This window comes from Homo sapiens, chromosome 4 (assembly GCF_000001405.40).
Source record: "Homo sapiens chromosome 4, GRCh38.p14 Primary Assembly".
Classification (NCBI taxonomy): domain Eukaryota; kingdom Metazoa; phylum Chordata; class Mammalia; order Primates; family Hominidae; genus Homo; species Homo sapiens.
This window is the reverse complement of record NC_000004.12, coordinates 134,412,731-134,437,439: the sequence shown is the minus strand read 5'-3', so window position 1 is coordinate 134,437,439 and position 24,709 is coordinate 134,412,731. Positions and strand designations below refer to the sequence as shown.

The window sequence follows — 24,709 nt, the reverse complement described above, 5'->3', positions numbered from 1 at the left end:
ACCATCATTCTCAGCAAACTATCACAAGATAAAACCAAAGAAAACCAAACACCACATGTTCTCACTCATAGGTGGGAATTGAACAATAAGAACACATGGACACAGGAAGGGGAACATCACATACCGGGGCCTATCAGGGGGTGGGGGGTTGGAGGAGGGATAGCATTTGGAGAAATCCGTAATGTAAATGATGAGTTGATTGGGTACAGCAAGCCAACATGGCACATGTATACTTATGTAACAAACCTGCACATTGTGCGCATGTACTCTAGAATTTAAAGTATAATTTAAAAAATTTAAAAAGAAAATATTAGCAACATATACTTATATCCAAAGTATATACAGAAACTAACTCCATTAAGAAAATGGACAAATGATTTCAGCAGACACTTCACAAACCAAGATATCAAATGATCAATCAGCACCTCCCAAAGTGATCAGCATCTTTTGTCATTATGGATTAGCACTGTAAACCCATTAGAATGGCTTAAAATTTTAATGACTGACCATACCAAGAGATACCAAGGATGTGGAGCAAATAGAGTTTTTATTTGCTGTTCTTAGTTATGGTACAACCAATTTGGAATACAGATTGTCCATTTCTTATAACTTTAAACATGTCCTTACTTTTATATCCCAGCCATATCACTCCTAGGTAGTTACTCAGGGAAAACGAAAATGTGAATCCACAAAAAGACTTTTGCAAAAATGCTCATAACAGATTTATTAAAAGAGCCTAAAATTGGATAAAACACAGATGTTCAACAGCAGGTGAACAGATAAACAAATTGTGATATATTCGTATAATGAAATATTGTTCAACCTTAGAGGAGAATAAACTATTGTTACACACAGCATAAAGGAATCTTGAAAAATGGTATGCTGAGCAAAAGAAGACAGAACAAAATATGTATTGGGTATATAATTCCATATATAGTCTATAAAAATTCTATATATAATTCTATATTAGGCAGCATTAATTCGGAATGACAGGAAACCTATTAGTGGTTGCCTGGAACTTGAAGAGGTGGGTGACTGCAGAGATACCCAACAGAACATTCTGGAGTAATGGAAATTTTCTGTATTTGAATACAGTGATAGTGACATGCCTTCATACTTTGGTCATCTAATAGAACTATACTCTTAGCATAATGCATTTTAGTATATATAAATTATATCAGAATAAGGTTAAATTTCAGTATGTATGTATCAATTTTTGAAAATATTTCTGAAGCTACTATTTGTTTTCAATTTATCAAAAAATTAATGTGATTGAAGAACAGTTTAATTTTTAAGCATGTAAATAAAATGGATAGCTGCATAAAGCAGAGATTAGCTGCCCAATAACCACTAATCACAAGTGGCTATCAAGCCCTTGAAATGTGGCTATGCTGGATTGAGATGTGCTGTAAATGTGAAAATAAACACTACATTTTGAAAACATAGTTTGAAAAATGATTTTAAATATCTCAATACTTTATATTGATTGCACATCGAAATATTTTTGATATATTAGGTAAAATAAAATATATTATGCTCAGAATAGTAATACATAATCAATATGTCATATACAACTTACTACATGTTTTAAGTATAGTATGTCATCTATTTCCTTTAAGATTGCAATTTTATTTTATTTTTATTTTTATACATTTAGGGGATACAAGTGCATTTTTTTACATAGATCTACTGTGTAATGAAGTCTGGGCTTTTAATGTAAATGTAACCTAAATATTGTACATTATACCCAATACAATAATAAATAAATATAATGATAATATATTTAAAATATACCCAATAGTATATTATACCAATATAATGATACATATCCAATAATATACCCAAAAATAATATAGCCAATGATAATATACCCAATATAATAATAAATATTCCCAATAAAGGGATGAGTTAATCTCTCTTCCCTTACCCCTCTCCCACCCTTTCACTTTTTGGAGTCTTCAAAGTCTATTATTACACTCTGTAGGTCCATGTGTATCTATTGTTTAGCTTCCACTTATAAGTGAGAACATACAATATTTGGCTTTCTGTTTCTGAGTTACTTCACTTAAGATTATAGCCTTCAGTTCCATCCACATTGTAGCAAAAGACGTGATTTTCTTCTTTTTTATGACTGAGTAGTATTCCATTGTGTGTATGTGCCACTTTTTAAAATCTGATCATTCTTTGGTGGACTATTAGGTTGATATTACAACTTTGCTATTGTGAATAACGCTATGACAAACATACGAGAGTGCAGGTGACTTTTTTTATATAATAATTTCTTTTCCTTTGGGTAGATACCCAGTAGTGGGATTGCTAAATCAAATGGTAAGTCTATCTTTAGTTGTTTGAGAGATCTCCATACTGTTTTCCGTAGAGGTTGTGCTAATTTACATTCCAATCAACAGTATGTAAGTGTTTCCTTTTCTCCACATCTTGGCCAATATCTGTTGTTTTTTTGACTTTTTAATGATAGTCCCTGAGACTGATGTAAGATGGTATCTCATTGTGGTTTTGACTTTCATTACTCTGATAAAAAGTGATATTGAATATTTTCTCATATGTTTGCTGGCCACTTTTATGTCTTCTATTGAAAAATGTCTGTTCTCGTCCTTTGCTCACTTTACAATGGAATTATTTGTTGTTGTTGAGTTCCTTGTAGATTCTGGATATTACCCCTTGGTCAGATGCATGGTATGCAAATATTTTTTCCCATTTGGTAGATTGTCTGTTTACTGTATTCATTATTTCTTTTGTGGTGCAAAAGCTTTTAAGTTTAATTAAGTCTCATTTGTCTATTTTTTGTTTTTGTTTTTGATGCCCTTGTTTTGAGATCTTCAATTCTTTGCCTAGTCCAATAACCAGAAGAGTTTTTCTTAGGTTTTCCTCTAGGATTTTTATAGTTTCAGGTCTTACATTTAAGTCTTCTATCCATTTTGAGTTAATTTTTGTATATGATGAGAGATAGGTGTCCAGTTATATTATGCTGCCTATGGCTATCCAATTTTTCCCAGCACCATTTATTGAAAATGGTGTCCTTTTCCCAAGGCATATTTGTGTCAACTTTGTTGAAGATTGGTTGATTGTGGGAGGTGGCTTTATTTCTGGGTTATCTGTTCTGTTCCATTGATCTAGATATCTATTTTTATATCAGTACCATGCTATTTTGGTTACCATAGCCTTGTCATAAAATTTGAAGTCAGGTAATGTGATGGCTCTAGCTTTCTACTTTGTGCTTAGGATTGCTTTGGCTGTTTCTTGGTTCCATATGAACTTTAGAATTATTTTCTTGAATTCTGGGAAAAATTACATTGCTAGTTTGATAGGGACTGCATGAAGTCTGCAGATTGCTTTGGGCAAGATGGTCATTTTAATGATATTGATTCTTTTGTTCCATAACATGAGATGTTTTTCCATTCATTTGTGTTATCTACAAATACACTCATGGGTATTTTGCAATTCTCCCTCTAGAGATTTTTCACCTTGATTAAATGTATTATTAGGTATTTAATTTTTTTGAAGCTATTGTAAATAGGGTTGAATTCTTGATTTGCTTCTCATTATTGGTGTATAGAAATGCTACTGATTTTTGTACATTGATTTTGAGTCCTAAAAGTTTACTGAAGTCATTTAGCAAATCTAGAAGTCTTTTGGAGGAGTCTTTAGGGCTTTATAGGTATAAGATCATATCACCAGTGAACAGAGATAACTTGACTTTTTCTTTTTCAATATGGGTGTCTTTTATTACTTTCTCTTGCCTGATTGTTCTGGATAGGACTTGCAGTATCATTTTGAATAGGAGTGGTAAAAGTGGGCATCTTTGTCTTATTCCAGTTATTAGGGGGAAGGCTTTTAACTTTTCTCATTCATTACGATGTTGACTGTTGATTTGTCTGTCATATGTGGTTTTTATTATTTTGAGGTATGCTCCTTCAATGTTTAATTAGTTGAGGGTTTTTTATATTGAATGCTTTTTATGCATCACTTGAGATGATCATATAGATTTCTTTTGAATTCTCTTTATGTGATGAATCACATTTATTTATTTGCATATGTTGAACCATCCTTGTATCCCTGGAATAAAGCCCACTTGATCATGGCGTCTTATCTTTTTGATGTGCTGTTTAATGTAGCTTGTTAGTTAGTATTTTTGTTGAGGATTTTTGCATCTATGTTCCTCAGGGATATCGGCCTTTAGTTTTCTTTTTATGTTGTGCCCTTACTCAACTTTGGTATTCAGGCAATACTGTCCTTGTAGAATGAGTCAAGAAGGATTCTCTCCTCTTTAACTTTTTGAAACCATTTCATTAGGATTGATACCAGTTCTTCTTTGTACACATGGTAGGATTTGGCTGTAAATTTGGTCCTGAGCTTTTTTCTGTTGGGAGACTTCTTTACTATTATTACTAATTCAATTTAAGTTACTGGTCTCTTTAGGAGTTCTGCTTACTCCTTGTTCAATCTTGAGAGTGTCTATGTTTCCAGGAGTTTATCCATTTCCTCTAGATTTTCTAGTTTGTGCATTTAGAGAAGCTCATAGTTTTCTCCGATAATCTTTTTTATTTCTGTGGTATCAGTTGTAATGTCACCTCTATTGTTTCTGATTGTGCTTATTTGAATCTTCTTTGTTTCTTGGTTAATCTAGCTAGTGGCCTATCAATTTTATATATCTTTTTCTTGATCCTTTGTATTGCTTTTTGATCTCAATGTTACTTACTTTTGATTTGATCTTTGTTATTTCCATTCTTCTTCTAGCTTTGGGTTTTGTTTGTTCTTACTATTCCAGTTCCTTCAGGTGCAATGTTTCATTGTTAACTTGAGATCTTTTTCTACTTTTTTGATGTACTCATTTAACCTTATAAACTTTCCTCATACTGCTTTTCCATATACCAAAGGCTGTATCTCTATTTTTATCTGGGTTTATCCAAAGATTATTTAGGGACAAATTTTACAATTCCGTAGTTTTGAGAGTTCCTCCTAATATTCATTTCTAGTTTTATTCCACTGTTATGCAAGAAGATGTTTGATATGATTTTGACTTTTAAAAATTTATTGAAACTTGCCTTGTAGACTTTCATAGGGTACATTTATAAGAATATTTTATCTGCTGATGAGAAAAATACATATTCTGTGGTTGTAGGTTAGAATGTTACGTAAATGCTGTTAGGTCTACTTAGTCTAGAGTCCAATTTAAGTCCAGAGTTTCTTTGTTGCTTTTCTGCCTTGATGATCTGTCTGGTGCTGTCAGTTGAGTGCTGAAGTCTCCTGCTCTTACTGCATTGCCAGGATTGTTATGCTGGTTTATTCTCATCTAGAGAAGCTGTCACTTATTTTTGAATTTACTTTCATTTGGATGAAAATTTTTCCTGAGGTTGTGACTATAATATATGACAAATGGGGTCATTGGAGTTTGCTTTTACATGCTTTCTGGGGCCATGACTTTGTTAAATTCCTTGGTTATAGACAGCCTTCGTTTGGTGCTTTCCTCAAATGTTAGTTACAGTAGCAGAGCACTAGGCTGGTGCAGAAGCTCTCAGCTTACTTCAGGGATGGGGAGGTGGAGGTCTCAACAAGCTTATCTTCCTCCCAAGCATTATACACTGGCCTCAGCAATTTTGTTTTTTTTTTTGTTTGTTTTTTTGACAGAATCTCGCTCTGTTGCCAGGCTGGAGTGCAGTGGCGTGATCTTGGCTCACTGCAACCTCTGCCTCCTGGGTACAAGTGATTCTCCTGCCTCAGCCTCCTGAGTAGCTGGGACTATAGGCACGTGCCACCATGCCCAGCTAATTTTTGTATTTTTTAGTAGAGACGGGGTTTCACTATGTTGGCCAGGATGGTCTCAATCTCTTGACCTCGTGATCCACCCGCCTGGGCCTCCCAAAGTGCTGGGTTTACAGGCGTGAGCCACCACGCCTGGCTGCAAATTTTGTATTGGGTAATGCAGTTCTACTGCAGGCCAGTAGGTGGTGATTGCAGGTGACAGACAGCTGTGGAAGAGGATGATGGGTATAAACCTGATCTTTGTTTACTTGGGGGAGCTCTCTGTTGCCTCATGCCATAGGCTTGTCTGTGGAATGCCCTGTGTCCTGAGTTCTCTGCTCACCCTCAGGATGGGAGATGAAGCTTGGTTATACATCAGTGAGGAGCATAAGCACCATCCCTGTGGAGGGTGGCAGGGGGAGTTCCTGGTGAAATGAGCTGAGGTCTCTGTTTGGGGGGACATGGCTATACCAACTCCACGTCATGGGAAGGCAGGAACGCCATTGGCTTCCCTATCACACCCCTGTCCTGGGGCTCGCATCTTTCAGTTCAGACAGACACTGCAGTATATCTCTAGGACACAATGTACCTGAGAGCCACAGAACACACCTGTCCCGAAGCTGTGTCAAAATGGCTTCAAGATGGAGTCTCTTCCCTCAGCCCCAAAGACAGCTCTGTGGCTCACTTGTTCTATGCTGCAGAGACGCTGCTGCTCCATGTAGAGAGGAGAAAGGCCCCTACTTTTCTGCAAAAATAGGCCTGGTAGGCCCATTGCCAAAAGGGGTGCTGCCACCCACCTAATAGCCCTGGAATGGCCCTCTTCAGAGACACAAGTCTGCCCACCCTGTGTAAGCAGCCACAGCTGTGTTATCTTCAGTGTGCATGGAGAAGGGAGGAGTCTCCCTCTCCACTACTGTGCCTGAGCACTGGTGCCACCTGGCCCCTTGGGTGAAACCACACTTCTCCACTCATATCTCTGCTGGAAGGAGTACAATCACATCCAGTCCACAGTGGGGAACTCTCAGGCACAAGAGAGCAGGTGCTCTGATTTCCTTTGAACCAAGGGGCACTTCCTTTGCACCCTGCAGTCTATCTTCCAATAGGAGCATCACACCACAAGGGCCAGACCACCAGTAGTTTCACAGCTCCCCTGGGTCCAGTGACCCCGTGTGGTTGCTGGAATACAAATGGGCACTGGAGAGTATCTCAGGGATTTGGTAATGTGGACACACAAGGGCTGAGATTCCCTGGGCAAGACAACTTTCCACAATGTGTGTGCACCCAGTATGATGCCTACTGCTGCAGCTCGGATGTAGGGGAAGGGTGGATGATCCTGTGAGAGCTGGTTGTGTAGTGCATTGCCCTCCAAAAATTTCCCAAATTACCTCCTACACCAGTGCCTGGGCTCACAGGGGTAAAGGAGACTTTTGACAGTTTGGAGACCAGCAGTCTGCCACAGGGGTGAGGGGGAGTCAAGGACACTGCTATCTAGCCTTTCCACAGCACGCTAGGTGCCTCGGGATTCAATCTCTGTCACACCCTTGCTTCCTTCTTTTTTCTGTGTCCTGTTTTATTCCTGTGAGCACTCTCCCCTTAATCTATTTCAGTTGTAATTATTCACCTGTAACTTTGGTTCTTTCTAAAGAGAACTGGCCTCTGATGTCTCCAGTCAGCCATCTTGAAAAAAGGGGGTTGCATTTTTATATTTTATTTAGATTGCATTTTTAACCCAGGAACTATTTATACATTTAGAAAAAGGCAAATAATCTCACTAAGAATACAGCTGCGTCATTTCTAAATGCACTTTCTTTGAGTAGCTTCTGAAATATTTGTGGAAATTATTTTCTAAAGTAGTGCTTCCTAAAGAGTTTGGAAATGATCAAGGCCTTGAGAGATTTTGCGTAGAATGTAAAATTGTTAGAAAATGTGTTTAGGAAATGTTGGATTAAACAGCACTTAACAGATTTCTAAACAACATGTATTTCAGCAATTTTATCAAGCTAATGTGCGTTATAAATCTTCAGAGAAGGGTTCTTAAAATATTCTTATTTCCCCTTGACATAATCAAAAGAGTCATACTCAAGATTTTGTGCAATATGATGTCTCTACAAAAAAGAAAAGCCACCTTTGAGCTATTTCGGAATAGATGCCTCATACATATATGCTGAAATGCAAACTCAGAAGGTCTAGCACTACTTTTATAATGACTTGGGTGAATATTATCCATTGACTTGATTACAATCCTATGCTTTTTTTCCTGCTTAGGTTTTTCTCCAAATGTCAAAACAGCTTTGTAAGAAATAAGAGGAATGGAGAATTTCAAGTTTATTGTGTGCCTTCTGATTTCAGATGTTTGCTTCTACCCAGACGCAGTTTTTAATTTCTGAAAGAGATTAGATATTATCTCTGAATAAGAATTCTAAATATCATTTTTACATTTACTCAATTTATAAATTACACAAGAAAATTAACTTTTTCTAAATAATGATGTTTCCATTTATGTCAGATATTTCTATGAACTGTCGATGAGAAATTAATTTCTAAATAACCTTACAATTAAGGTATATCCTTAGAAGAGAGTTTGAAAAACATGTTTCCATGATACTAATGTATTGCTAGTAAAATTGCATTACTATGTAAGTAGAATTATAACTAATAAAAACATAAGTAATATACATAAATTATGATTTGAAAATAGGCCGGGCGCGGTGGCTCATTCCTGTAATCCCAGCACTTTGGGAGGCTGAGGCGGGCGGATCACGAGGTCAGGAGATTGAGACCATCCTGGCTAACAGGGTGAAACCTTGTCTCTACTAAAAATACAAAAAATTAGCCCGGTGTGGTGGCAGACGCCTGTAGTCCCAGCTACTCGGGAGGCTGAGGCAGGAGAATTCCGTGAACATGGGAGGCAGAGCTTGCAGTGAGCCGAGATCAGGCCACTGCACTCCAACCTGGGTGACAGAGCGGGACACTCTCTCACAAAAAAAAAAAAAAAAAAAAAAAAAGAAAATAATCATGCTCAATACACATGCAACTAGAATTATTTACATATAATAATTCAAACATAAGAATGTCATAGATTTTATCAGAATTAGGCAATCTGTAGAGCTCAAAAAAAGAATACAATTGCTAACCTTATTATGCATTAATTTAATTCCAAACTACCATTCAACTGATTAGATCATAAAGTAGCATAGGCCTCCTGCTGTGTGGGTGTTTGCAAAAACACAGCAATCCCAAATATCTAGTAATGGGAATGGTGCTGAGTGTAAATTGTTGATAATTTTGTTATGACACTAACTAGTTGAGAGCTATTGATGACTTGGAAATCTCTTTATATTGGCAAAATTTTACTCTATCTTGAAATGTACATAAGACAACATTCATCTATGATTTGTCTCTAGAATGGCTAGTGATGAGCTAGTTTCATCATAGAGAGTGTAAGTAATTTACAATTCCAGAAAGTATACTTGATAAACTCCAAGAGGAAGTATTTAACTTAATAATTCTAGGTTTCCAGTCAAATGAATCCTTTTTGAACTAATGCTTTGTTCTTTTATTTCATATTTGCCCTACTCCCTTTTCAAAACATGCCTCTTAATAATAAATTTGCTTAAGAAATAACTTCAAACTTTTAATAACATATGATATAAGGGACTACATAGCTTCTCTAGAGACTTTTTTCCTGATTTCAACATTAAGAAGTTATGTTTTTATCTATTTTTCTGAGTGCACTTATTAATGTGTGAAAGTCCTTTAAATTCTGTTTCTGATTATTTCACTTTAGAAGGAAAGGAATGCAAATAACTATCTAGGTATAAAATATTTTTTATTATCATTTCAGTTTGGAAATGAGACACAGACTAAATATTGAGATATCAATATGTCTTGGTAATGTGTTATATAGTTAGAATTAATTTAATACTGGGTAGAATTTCCTGTTTACAATAATGTTTTGCTATTTAAGATTCCTGAATTTATCTTTAAGTCTTCTAAGAAATTTAACTAATAATTTAGTTTGCACAGACATACAGATACACACAGTTTGCTCCTCTGAGTGTGCTTTCAGAGTAAAGAAGCCAAAGGGAAGTCTGTCTCTACCCCTGCTGTCTTAACAGCGTTGAAGACATGAATTAATGGGGCAGTGCCTTACCATGACAGGAGAGGCACAGCACTCCAAAAGAGCTAAGCTCTGGTTTGGGGGATGGAGTGGCTATCGTATGCAAGATGTAAATGTTTATGGTGAAAAGCAATCCAACTTAATCACTGCAAAGCCAGATTTGAAAATGAGGTTCCAGAAGAGGAGAAGTCATACACCAAGACATGCCATCAACATAATATTGCTAATATATTGCTTTCCACAGGTCACAATTCTAAGGAACATTACAATCAATTTTGATTACCTGTTGTCTTGAGGTCAAGTGAGCAAGAATAAAACAGACAGAAGTGTGTTCATACTTTTATCATTTCCTTCTGTACCCAACTGTGCACTAATGTTTGTTAAGAGTTTAGCATTGAGAGCTCAATTTGATTGGCCTACAACACAGGTTGAAGAAGAGGGCAATAAACTGATTCACCTGGTCCCATTTCTGTAATCAGTGCATGAGCCTTCTAGAGTAATTTATTTATTCAGTTAAAGATTCTGTCATCTCCTGCCAAATAAGTTCACATATTTGTTTACCTGTCAGTACTTCCTGAGTGTTCGATTGTTTGCTTGATATTTATGTTGGTATGTGCCTTTGTTTGAGTAAAAATTTCATAAAATTTTTCTGGTTAGCTCTCTGGGTCTGGTATTTCAATGGAGTGTATTATATTATATTCTCCTGGGAGCTGATATTTATAAGATCTGAAGCCTAGGTAGAAATAAGTTTTTGTAGAAGAACCCTGAAATATGGGGTCCCCCTTTAACACCTGTTGAAGAACTTAAATTTATACATTCATTTGTTTTATTTTTAAAGAAACAGTAGCTGCATATGTTTTTCCAAGCAATAAAGTACACCTTGTACATTTTTGTACAGCAGGTTTAAGTATGCAGAATGAAATATTATCAATAACATACATAAAATATATATAATTTGTGTATCTACATTAGTGCAGCAAAATTATGTAGTCACACAATACTTCCAAAATTGCTAATTTTATTTCAATGTCATTTGATATTATCATATAACAATCAAAACAGCTATTAGGTTGGTGCAAAACTTATTGTAGTTTTTGCCATTAAAAGTAATTTTCCTTTATTCTCTTTTGTGCTTACATTACTGTCTTTTCTTAGACTTCAATACTTTAAACAGATATATAACTTTTATTCAAATACAATTTCTTTGTTATAACTTTAACAAAAGTTATAAGTAGGCAAATTAACATTTGGCTTGACCTCCAACTATTACTACTTCAAGTTTCCCTCTTGCTGGTTAGTATTGCTTAAGATAAATCATGACACTTAAAGGATTCTGAAAAGTTTTCCTTATTGAGAGTTAAATTAGTCATAATTACAAATATAGAGAAAATTCTATAGAAAATCTATTGTATAATGAGGGGCTGAGATTAATGGTTAAAACTACAGTTAATGACATTTACCCTAGGATTTTTAGCGTAACATAAAAGCAATCTAAGAGAACGTGTTGCTATTTTAAAATGTGAACCGGCATATGGAGAGATTCAATCTGGGTTAAAAGGAAAATAAATAGATTGAAAGAGAAAAACTGAGGTAGAGGAGAGTTATTGCACATTCAGTATTTGATTTAATCCCATATTGAGTTCCATATGTTCACTTGAGAGGCACAGAGAGCCAAGAATATAAAATATCTTTTTTTCCCACTAATTACATAGGCATGGTTTTCAAAGCAGAAGCTCTTTTGCCCACCAATTTTAATCAGAATATTGACATTTTTTTTTGGAAATTTCCATCATCTTCTAAGAACTGAATATTTAGAGTATAACATTTTGTTCCAACCAGTGAAGCTATTAGAAAAATTTTATGAAACCCTTCAACCTCAAAGAACTTGCAATTTCAATAAATAATTGACTCATTTTATATATTTAAAGCAAGGTGAGTACTGCCGTTTATAGAAAACTGTAAAAGTGATTTAAGTCAACATTTTAGTGCTCGATGGGTATAAAATAATTGTTATACAGATGCTAATAAAAGTGAGTAGGAATAAATTCCCTTTTTTTTCTTTTCTTTCTTTCTTTTTTTTTTTTTTTCTGATAGAGTCTCGCTCTGTCGCCCAGGCTGGAGTGCGGTGGTGCAATCTCCACTCACCGCAAGCTCCGCCTCCCGGGTTCAAGCCATTCTCCTGTCTCAGCCTCCCGAGCAGCTTGGACTACAGGTGCCCACCACCACGCCGGGCTAATTTTTTGTATTTTTAGTAGAGATGGGATTTCACTGTGTTAGCCAGGATGGTTTCGATCTCCTGACCTCGTGATCTGCCAGCCTCGGCCTCCCAAAGTGTTGGGATTATAGGCATGAGCCACCGCGCCCAGCCCCTTTTACTTAATTATGCTGATTTCAATTAAACATTTTCTATTATAAGAAGGTTCTTTGAAAAGCAACAGGGCAGCCCACATATTGAGGACTTAAAAGAAACAGCAGAAGCTTATATATAAGGATCAAGCAGGGGAGCTAATAAAAACTTCAATATATTTGCCTTAGTTCATTTGTTTACTGTTTTAGAAAAGAATAATATAGAAATAATTCTGGACACGTTATTTACAGAGACATGTATTTTTACTGGAGAAAAATAAAAAAACTGTATTTCCCAAAAATGCATATAATATCACAATGCTAGGCAGAATTCCTATATTTTTTTCTTTCTGGCGTGATTGCCTTCTTCCCACCCACTCCTGATACTCCTGTTTTTGAGGATAGTTCCATTGTTCTATTTCCTCAAGAATCCAAAGGCACAATCTTAGCATTATTTTATGTACCATTAGCTTAATACTTACTAGAAAATAGTAAATGGGCACGTGTATTGCAAGCTATGCAGGACACTATAGAGGTTCCAGACATAGAATAGGTTCCCGGTGTTGTGAGACTGATAAATCAAGAAAAAGGGACAAGGCTAAAAACTGATTCAAGGCCAATAATTAGAAAAATAACAGTTTTTCTAACTCAGGGTTTTCCTAATTATTCACTTAGATTTCATGGCTTGACCTTTTTTTCATTTTTAAAAAGAGTTGGTCATACAGTGTGTCTTCTGACTTCAGAATGAAGTGATGGCATATATTTTAAAATAAGTAAAGCATAAAAAACCAGTATTTCCTGAATGTTTGTGCAAAGAAGTGAATATCTCAGTTGATCATGGAGACATAAACTAGTATTTGAGTGCCTTCTATGTGTCAAGCATCAGCTAGATATTTTCAATTACATTATCTCATGAGGGACCCATAGGAATCCTAGGAGAAAGTGTTTTAATAACCTTGTAAAAAGTAATGGATAATGCCTTTTTCTGAGTGAAGTCTACATGGGTTATTTTTTAAAGAATGATATAAAAATTTCTGTTCCTGAAGAGATCTTTCAAGAGGTTATTTTGGAATTCCGTTTTTTCTACCTGAGATAATATGTAAAAATATTCAAATATTATCTTTAGCCTTCTACTGAAGATATTTTTCTTTTTTATTCCAAATGTTCAGAACCCATGAGTGCTTTTCATAGCCAAACTTCATGAGGATTACTTCGGGTTTCTTAAAAGCAAGGAGGTGATATTATCTTTTTCATTACCTTGTCTTGGGGAGAAAGACTGGGTCAGGGTGATAAACAGTAGGCAATTCTTCATCTCATTGAGACATCTAGGATTCTTCTTGTTTCCCCTATTGTTTAATAAAAATAATAAAATTGTAAGCAAGTACAAGTATTGCACAAAGCTGTCACAGGCATTCAAAATGATGACATGTTGAAAAGGAACAGAAAGAATCTTATTGTATACTGCTTGGGAAACAATAGTTAAAAGTTACTAGTTCCACAATTTTCAAGGAACAGAATTGATTGTAAGATGCGAAATATTTCTGAAGCCCTAATTTGTAAAGGGGTATTTTATTTTTTATACAGGTAGTTATTAATATTCCTACACACCACCCAACTTAATTAAGGCTTAGTCACATCATGAAGTATGACTGAGGTGACAAGTTGGAATCAAATTAAGACATATAACAATTTCATTTTTCTTTTTTACTGTAAGACTGACACCCATGAGTAAGAATTAATTACACGAAAAAGAAAGGAGAAGGAAATACAAAAGGAAAAACATATATGTAAGCTTCTATAAAGTCTGTAAACAATATAAAATACTTATATGTAGAAATCTGGATTAATCTACTTAAGAATTCTCTTTTCCTTGTTTTAAAGAGAAGGAAGCCAAAAAAATACAAGAGCAAATTTTATAAAATTTTAAAAATTTAAAAAGTCTTTCTTTGTTATTACATAGGTTTAAAAAGTGGTTAATAAGTATTCAAAGTCTTACTTAAGTTGAATATGTATAACCATTTATGCTGATTTAACTCCAGTGCTCATTTTGCCCAACTCCACAAGCCTCAGCAATGTTACAAGACAAAGCACTTCCCCTCTTTATGGCAGCTTCCTGGCTGCCTCCTCTCCTCTTTAGAATGGTAGCATCATTCAAATGAGAGGACTTTGCCAATATTCGATGATAATTGGAATGAATGTTTCATACACTTAAAATTGAACTTTCAAAGTCTAATTGCTAGAAAGCACATACACTTAAATTTGATACTGTAATTAGATTACTTCAGCTGCAATTATAGGATGAAATGTGTGTCTGTGTTTGTGTGTGTGATTTTAATAGTCAAACTGTAAGTTATTTATGTAGAGATAATATTAAAAACTAATAGGAGAGAGATTAAAAGATATTTATCATTGGTTTTCTGTGTATTTACCATAAATTTACAAGTAAAGGCTGTATATATTATTAAAAAAATAAACTAGAATTAGCTTTAAAAATTCTTTAAAATTATCTCCTCAATAAATTAAAGTTTGGAAGGCAGAGAAATGTTTAAAAAGTATCATATTTTCAACAATAGCAAAAGTTACTTCACTGTAAATTGGGATGGGAGATACTCACCCTGAATGTTTATTCTGAATGTTTTGTCTAATTACATAATCTATACATATAAATGTTAGATAATGCCTTCACCTTGGCATTGAATTAAAATTTTGATATGAAAGAATAATATTTTTGTTAAACATATACACTTTGGCAAGGAAAATATTTTAGGTGAAGGGATAAAATATATTTGGCGACATTTGGTTATAGAAATACCAGAGTAATTTATAGAAATTGTGTATCACAATAAAAAATGCTTTAATAATGATGTAAACTCCTGCACTTGAGACTAACAGCTTTAAAACCATATCAGTTTCAAAGACTAGTTGGAAGTCTTTAAATTCTACTACTACAAAGAATGAAAAATTTAAGAAACAAATATTCCACGGAAGACGAGAGACTTATGAAATGCTCCTTTATGTTAAATCTTTTCTCCCTAAGGATAGGTTCTTTGCTTGCTTCAAAGTAAGACTTAGTGGTTACACTAAGCCAGCTGGAAATAGATTAATATATTGTTCTGTCCCTTCATCCCTGAAATTTTACTTTAATTTTCTAGTCTCTTTCCATTTATAACGATCAGAGAGGAGAAGGTACACATGGCTCTTTTGCAGACAGCCACTTGGATAAATGTTGTTGTAATTATTACCTGTGGCACAGCAATGTGGCCTGGACATTCCACGAACATGTGGTCACTATTTGGAAAGAGGCCTGCACTTCATCAATTGAAAGCCAGTGTCATATTAAGGACTTAACGAATAATGAATAAAGACCAGCATTCACATGAGTTAAATTAAAAGTTGTTTTTTTTTTCTTCTTACCATAGAGAGCCTCTGCTTTGACTCAATATTTAATTAAATAAAGACTAGAATGATTGCTATAATAAAACACATTGTTAAAGCACATTGTAAAATATGAAAAAAAGTTTAACATTTCATACATTTCTATTTTCATAATTTATATACCCATGAAAGTTACTCAGATTTCTCTCTGTATAGACTTTTTTTGTCAGTGACTAACATTTTGTAGTCAGCCGCATACTAAATTGCTGTTGACTGCATGAAATAAATTGTTAGTTGTATCAATTTTTTAACCATGAAGTTTGGTTATATTTTTAATTTTACACAACACGACATTTTTATTATTATTTTATTTAGCTTTCAATGTATTTGTTTTATTGTGCCAATTATTGAGAAGTTGAATCATTGCATGTCATAATACATTTTCTTTAAATATATCAGTAAATAATGGTGGACGACTTTGGTAGAAAACAATTAAATATAATCATCTGAAACACTTCTATTGATTGTAGCAATTGTAAAACCCCATGGTAGAAGAAATACAAGCATTGTGTAAGGGAAGTCAAAAGAAACTTTCATAAAAATTACTTCGTGTATGTTTGTGTGTGGGCTGTGTGTGTACACGTTGAGTGTGTGCACATGTGTATTTATTTTTAATGCCTGTCTTTAAAAAGCCTGGAAAATTATCTAGAGTTGTGAAAGGTTACTTAAATTAATACTGGTTTCAGTTATGGCATTCTTTCTACATTCTAAGTAAAATACTAAAATAGCAATATAAGTAATTTTTGTAAAACCATTTACAGCTACAATTTTTCAAATTTGTGGAAGCCTAAGAGTATTAATTAACTAATACTATAAGAGAAACAGTAAAGTGGCCATATTCTCAAAGGAAAATGCAATAACAATAGAAAAAATAGGTAAAATTTAACTTTAAATTTTGCAAAAGTAAGGAGTAATGGATGGCTTTAAAGGTAAATAATAAGAGCTAGAAATGAGTATCAGGGGAAAATCCAAATGCAGATAACAATGAATGAATTCAGGTAGAATCAGATCTTCCCAAAAGAGTTTGAGAATAGTATTTTGGGAAGAAGATTTTTCTTTGAATCAATTTTAATGATCTAATCCAAAGGATAATAAAGAAGTGTGCGTGTGTGTATACACACACATATATAAACATATATGTTTATAAAAGATTGTGATGAATGCTATGAAGCAAATCTACACAAAGAAGATGGGATAGGACATGCTAATGAAGGTTGGGGGAGAGTTACTTAGTCTGTTCAAGAATAACGTCATTTATGTAACAACACTGGAGCAGATAACTAAAGAAGATGTTCCTTGTATCATATCTGGGAGAAAGTTCTAGTTCAAGGAAACTGCAAGTAAAACAAACCTGAGGTAAGCACAAGCTTCCATGACTGAGAATTGGCAACCAGAGCAGAGTGTCTGGAATGGAATAAAAAGACAGGAAATAGTAAGAGATGAGGTCAGAAAATTAAGAGATGGATGTTTTTATGAGACACAGAAAAAAGTATTCTAGGCCATTGTATTGCTGTGTAGGGAAGGAAAGCCATAGGACAATTTCAAGCAGAAAATTCCCCTGATTTGACTGAATTTTCAAAGGGTCATTTTGGCTGCTAAGTTGAGGATTTCCTTTGAAGGGACAGGGGTGAAAGCAAAAGAGCCACCCAGAAAAAATGCTATAGTAATCCGAATAAGATATAATGGTGACTTGGATCTTGATGCTATCAGTAAAGGTATTCAGAAGTGACTAGACATTGGATATATTTCGAAGGTAGAATCAACAGGATTACTTAGTGACATAATAGTTTGACATGGCACTTGTGAGAAAGAGCCTAAAAGAAGAGCAAAGAGAAAAGCATAGGATAACTCCAAGTTTGCGGTTCTGAGAAACTTAGAAAATAACATTAGTCTTTACAAATGGAGAAGCAGGAGGAAGTAAATTTAGTTTTTGAATGCGTTATGTGTGAGATGTAGAGTAGATATGAGGGGGGAACACACAAAATAAACTTTTGGATAATATGTCTGGAGTTCAAAAGTGAAATGTAAAAAAGATTTTCAAACTTTTGAAATGTTGCTATATAGGGAATATCAAAGGTATAATTTCACTTGAGATTGCATGCATACATACATGCAAGCAAAATAATAGAAGCTTTCCAAACAGAGAGCTCCAGGTCAGTTTATATTAAGAGGGCAGTCGGTGAAAAATGGACTAAAAAAGAGCAACCAATGAGTTTGGAAGAGAAACTAAGTGAAGACAGTGTTTAAAGGAGGACAATCTTATCAACTATGTCCAATGCACCTAATAAACCCAAGAAGATATAGACTAATGAGTGAATATTGAAGAAAACGATATCACCGGTGCCCTAGACATGAAGAGAAATGGTGGGAATGCAAGGTAAGAACATAGCCTGATGTACAGAATTCAAGCTACAATAGCAAGAAAGGAATTAGAGACACCTTTAGGCAATTCTTTCTAGTTGTGTTTTAGAAGAGAGCAAAGGAATAGAGTGATAGCTCGAGGGTAAGTATGATAAGGGGTGGACTTGTTAAAGATGGGAAATGCTACAGCAAGTTTAATGCTAAAGGAAATAATCTGGTGGAGAAAAGAAAAATGATACATGAAGTACAATAATCAGAGGAGACAATTGTTCAAGTGTCATCCTGAATAAGTAGAAGAGAATAAATGGGCTCATGAGCATGAGTGGAGGAGTTGGTGTCAGATTAGAACACAAATGATTCATTCAAAATGAATCCATTCATTTTTTCAACACACTTACTAGGTACTATTATTTTTTGCCATTATTGTGCTAGAAAGTAAAAATACAAAAATGAATAAAACAGGACCTGTATCATGAGCATTAAAATCTGGAGGAGAAAGGATTGATATAAATCTATTTTAATACATTTTTTATTTAAAAGGAGTGCTCCACTAGAGGTTCAAAATACGTTGCTCTCATTAAAGACAAAATGTGTAAGTTCCAAGAGAATGGGTAAACATTCATGAATGAAGTTTTCAAAAAGACCTCACAGAGAGTGATAAACATTCATCCCAAGTTTAAATGATGGAGAGACCATTGTAATCATAAAACATAGTAATCTCAAAGGCAGAGAGGTGTCACAGGTTTAATGGGTCTGTAAATAATGTGGATGGCTTAGGGTGCATTTACTGTAGCTTAGCAGGAGAGGCCAATGGTGGCCACATTCAGGGTTTTCTGTGTCTTGCTGAAAATGAAATTCCTCATGTGTGTTTTGGGCTGAAATATAGGAGGGATTAAGGAAGCCTGTCACATTTCTTAGTTGGGTGACTAACTGGGTGAAAATTCAATTACCAGAATAAAAGTTTAGAGTATAGATATAAATTCAAATTGCATACTCTGAGTTTGGGATGCCTGTGTGAATCCTCCCTGTTGGAAAGTATATCTAGGTGGTAATATGTAAAGGCACTCACAGGTGTACATTTAAGACTCAGATATGGTCAGGTGCATAGCATCATGAGCAGGGGCTGATGCAAGTTTTACAGCACCAGAAGGAAGCCTGTACAATTTGGAGGCCCCTTAATAATCTATACATTCTAAAATACAATATTAAGTATAATTCCTAAAAATAAGCCCTATATAAATGAGGTTTTCTGAAGCTTATACTTTATTAGTACATTAGTAAATCTTTTCATGAGCAGGAGCTGTTGTAGGGAAACATAAAGCTATGGACCTGGAAGGGAATACCTAGGTTAAAGAGAGGAGGGAGAAGAAAAGAACACGAACATCTTGAGAATAGATTTTAAGTGTCCTCACCACATAAACACATAATGGCAACTAATGGTAGTGATGATGTATTAATTAATTTGATTGTGGTAACAATTCCACAATGACTTTTTGTGGAGAATCATCATGTTGGGCACCCCAAATGTACACAATTTCTATTTTCAGTCATACCTAAAGAAAACTGAATAAAAAGAGTAATCAGTGTAAAAGGAACTGAGGTAAAATACTGAGAAAGAGCAGTCAAGGAGGAAATAACATAAAGAATTCAAGGAAGGAGAGGATTCCCATAGGAATATAGGTTCATAATGTATTAAATATTATGGAGTCTTACGGGTACAAGTAATTATTTTGTTATTAAGTGATTTATTAAATGAATTATTTTATATAATTTGTAAGTAGATGAGATGAAAAATAGTTATTAAAAATGCTGTCTGACAGATAACTATTATTTTGGGACAAGACTTAACAAATTTTCTAGGCAAAGAATCACAAAAGGTAACACATTTGAAACATACTGTCACTGCATCCTAAATTCATATCTAAATAATGAGTGATTTTTATAGACCTGGACACCAAAACTTCAGCAAATATATTATTTTAAATAAACCTTGAGTCACATGTACATAAGTAGGCTTCCAATGATAATTGGTTGTTTTTACTTCAGTGCAGTAAAAATATTAGTGCAACGTAGATAAAACTTTTAAAATACTACATTCATAGCATCTCATTATACTTAAAATAAAACTATCGACTCTCTTGAATATTTCAAAATGGATGTCAAATATTAAAATCATATAATCATCATAAAATAACTTTTTATTCAAAAGTTTCATTTTCATTCTGTCAATGTATCTGTCATCAATTGATAGACCAAAGTGTGCTTGAACAGAATGTAAAACAGGATAAAAATTATTCTCACCTTTTAAAGTTTGTGTGTGTGTGTGTGCGTGCACGTGCATGCACGTGAATCTGTGTGATTATGCAAAAGATAAAAGGTTTTCTTGAAAGTATTGAGGCAGCTGCACTCTTTTCAGACTGATTCCTTTTTCATGAATACAAAAGTAGCATTTAACTTATCATTGTACTCAAGGGCTTATTTTATAAGCAATATAAAAGCAGCTGGGAAAATGATTTTGTTACTTTTAGCATGGCTAGGTAATTAAAATTTTCTGGATTAAAGGTATTTGAGTGTTGTCTATGTTGCTGATGATAGCTCTTACTAATGATATTAGTGCAGTAATTTTCCAATTTCAAATGTTAAGTATTTTTGTGTGGTTAAATGATTTTGTTGAATCATATGGATAGATTAAGTATGAAATTGAAGCCATGTACATTTTCAGGAAATTTTGCTCTTGTACTTCAAGCTGCACAACACTTCCATAGCATCTCTCCCACACATTTTTTTCTGTTGCTTTTTTTTTTTTTTGGCAAAGGGAATGCAGGGGAAGGAGAAAGGATCACTAAGTGGTACCTTCTTCTTGTCACCATAGTAACAGGAAAATGTAATTATGCAAAAAAGAAGAAATATTGCAAGGTAATAGAAGAGAAACACAATTGGATCAAGAAACTGATGTTAAGGCTGAAAGGCACACTGAGAGGTCAAATATCTAATTCCTTCATGGTCAAGAAATAGTTCATTCAAGTCTTTCATAGAAAACAGAAGTTAAAAAATACTACTTTAACTTCTGATGATTTCCAGAAATGAAAATTCAACCTCGCTGTCTATAATCATTTATTCAAATGTGCAGTTACATTATTAATGCAGATTATTCATATTTATTAGTAGTCAAAGTTACCTTGAATATTTGTAACATTTTCAAATGTACCCTAAAAATAGCAGTTGTCCTGATAATCTCCATTTTTCTGAACAAAATAAAGAGTTGTTTCTTTGCATTCATACATAGAAGTTAATTTTTCCTTTTGTTTTGTTACTTTTTCTTTGAATCCATTTTATTCGTAGACTAAAATTAGAATAGTGATCCCAAGTTTTGTTTATTTCAAATTAAAATTAATAACTTAAATCACAGTGATGTTCAGCCAAGGTTAATTCGACACAATTTTTGTGTATATGTGGTATCAATCTCACTTGGAGGAAGAAATAATAGTATTGCATTAAGAGGGAGTTTCAACGTTCTTTGGAACTATGAAAGTTGACAATTAACTTCCTCCACACTTTCTAAAAAAAAAAAAATTCAAACTAAAATAACCACATACGGATCAAAAGAGAAAACAAGTAAAATCAATCTGCCTATAGTCTATGCCCTAACATTTAAACAAGGCAGGTAATTCAAGTTTCAAAGTGCAAGTTTTAAACTGCAAGTTTTAATTTCCATGTATGTTGGGAAATACAAATCTCTGACCATCAGAGTTACCAGGGAAGTCCAAATCAGAGTAAAGCAGGGAAGAGGCAGAATAGAGGAAATTGCACAGAGTCCTGATGGTGAAGAGAAACAGAAAATATTAATCAGGATTATTCTAAGAAAGAGACGTTTTCACATGAGTGTGAAATTATTAAAAACAGGTCAGAGATCTGGTGGATCAAAGAACAGAGCACGGGAATTGTCTGACAGGTACTGTAGGAAGTTAAGTTGGAGAACACGGTGTTCCTTAGAGGCATGATATTAATAGTAAAATAAGAGTGCCACCAAAGTACAATAACATCAAAGACTGAGAATAAATCTGATAAGCCAAGAAGCATGTATTCATGGAACACACATAGAGGTGAAAAGCGAATTGAACATACCAAAACTAAGAATCACATTGGTTACTGAAAGCCTTCTACACCTCCCCTCCCAGCTCAGACTGAACTGATTATTGTTTTAAGAAAATCCAATGCAAATAACTATGAATTGAAAAAACATAGCTCTCATTTTAAAAACAGTGCATGAAGAAAAAATAATAAAAACTTTTCAGTAGATAAATATATTCCCGCTCTAACACATGCACATACACTGAAACATGATGGAAAGAAAAACTGGATCTTCATACCTATTTGAATACAAGTAATTTAACCAACACTGAGGAAAAGAGAGAACATTAAAATAAGAAATTCACAAGGTCAAAACACGCATTACAAGACAGAAAGATAGGAAATGATAGCTGATAAAACTCAGAAAAGAGATGAAAGAAAAAGACAAAATTCTCTCCAAAACGAGATCTGAATTACATTGTGTCCAATGAAGAGAGATGAGTGAACTTACAGTAAGGAATACACAAAATAGAACCAAAGTACAATTCCCTTTACCTCATTCTTTAATAAATCCTCTCCGATAAGGCTGTGCCCCTGTGCTTTCCCACTGAACAATTTTTTTCAAGAGCATCAATCACCCACACACTGGTAATTCCACTGGATAGTCTCTTTCCTTGTGGGAAATCAGCAGCATTTAACACAAGTGATCACTGTCTTCTCATTAATATTCTTATATTTGCACTTTGGCTATAAGAGTGCCACACTTTGTTGGTTTTCCCCCTACCTCTCTATTTATTCTCAGTCTTATTTCTGGTTCCTTCTCTTCTTGACCTGCAAACCTTGGGTAACCCCAGAGCTCAGTCCCTAGGTGTCACAATTTATTTGCACACAATTCATTTGTTGATCTCAATAGTCTTGTGATTTTCATTAATATTTATTCACTGACAAGTATTAAATGCGTATGCCCAATCTTGTAGTTTTCCCTGAACTGCAGTCATTAAAGGTGTCTCTGAGCAAGGTGTAAACATTTTATATTCCCCATGGAAGATAAAAATTTAATATCCTCCACTGTGGCGGAAGTTTATGTCGACTATCATGGTTTTATTTTTCTCTATTAAACTTCATCACCATTTTACATTGTATGTGTTTAATTATTTATTTCTTCACTGTCTGTCTTCACTAATGTAAACTCCATATGCCTAGTGCCTACAGTTGTGTTTCATACATACTATGAGTTCAAAAAACAGTTTTTGAATAGCAAATGAATGAGTGATTAATAAATCACTATCACTCAACTGCGAGTTAAAATCCTATATTTCTTCAATAGGTATATTATTAATGCACTTAATTTACCACCATATAAAGATTAATTGACTATTTAAAATATTATTTGTGAAGGTGATAGTTTAATTATTTTCTGTGAGATACTTTGGAAAAAGATTAATATTAAAATATTCTGAGTTTAGATTCATGTTTCTAGTAAGGTGTACATGATTATATGTTTGGCTAATCTACCCTGGATGTTTTAATTTTAGATTGATGAGGCTGTGTTTAGTTTTATTAAGGAAAAAAAAATCACTTTTTTCTTCGGGTGACTAATTTTGAAAAGAACCATGTGTCTTACTTCTAGATTCACCTATTGCTTTCCTACACTGCCTGTATGATCCACCGATTTTTAGCAAGTCACATGTCACATTCCACTAATTGTATACTCAGAATTTTGCATTACATTCTAAAAGGTAATATTATTTTCTATGTAACAGTTATTATGATTGGTATAAACACAGGTAGAAATACTTTATAACTTAAAAAAATTTCCCATTTATTATAAGGCTAAAAGGCTAAAGTTAACGTTTGCAATTATTTTTGTGTGTTTTGTTTCACTGATTGGTGAGGGCTTTAATTATCCTGTCCTTGGTCATGAGGGAATATTTCATACATGCTGTTATATTTCAAAGACGTGTGTGTGTGTGTGTGTGTGTGTGTGTGTGTGTGTGTGTGTGTATGCAAAAGGAACACAGAAATGTATAAGTTGTTCCTAAACTCATCCAGTTCATTGATTCACAATAAATAAACAGATTGAAAGCCTTTGTCAATGCTATCAGTACCCTGCCTATAGCCTCTTAATTATGCCTCAATGCACAGCAGCTAGACTTCCAAATGCCAACAAGTGCAGTTATTTGCCCATAGGCTTTCTCTAGCCACTAGCCCTGCTTTGCTTCACCACGTGTCGATCCAGAAGTGCCAGGAAACTAACAATGTAAGAATCAACCTTAAATAGATGACTGATGAGAGTCGAGATTCTACATACCTTAAGGGGAAGCAGAGTAGAAAATCCAGAGGTGTATATTTTGCACTGCTCTTAGATGTATCTGAAGGAAGCAAGCTCCAGATACACAGCGATACTTTAATTGATAGAGACATTGATTTTTTTCCCTTTTCCTACCTTGCTTCCCCCACCTACTTAATGTGCTATCTGGGATTGCTTCCTTGATTCATTTCTTCTTGCTGCTGTAATACATTACCACAAATATAGTGCTTAAAACAATGCAAATGTATTATCTTACAGTTCAGGAGGTCATAAACCCCAAATCAATTCTACTGGATCAAATTCAA

General features: G+C 34.3%; 1 long non-coding RNA gene across 1 annotated transcript in view; it reads right to left on the bottom strand.

Annotated features, from left to right (window-relative positions):
* The window catches only part of LINC02462 (long intergenic non-protein coding RNA 2462), a 121,637-nt gene extending 108,065 nt beyond the window's left edge, over positions 1 to 13,572 (bottom strand). Inside the window, exon 1 of the long non-coding RNA NR_147155.1 lies at positions 13,484 to 13,572. This is a non-coding gene — a long non-coding RNA (long intergenic non-protein coding RNA 2462). The remainder of the gene's footprint in view (positions 1 to 13,483) is intronic.
* Positions 13,573 to 24,709: the final 11,137 nt, after the last annotated feature.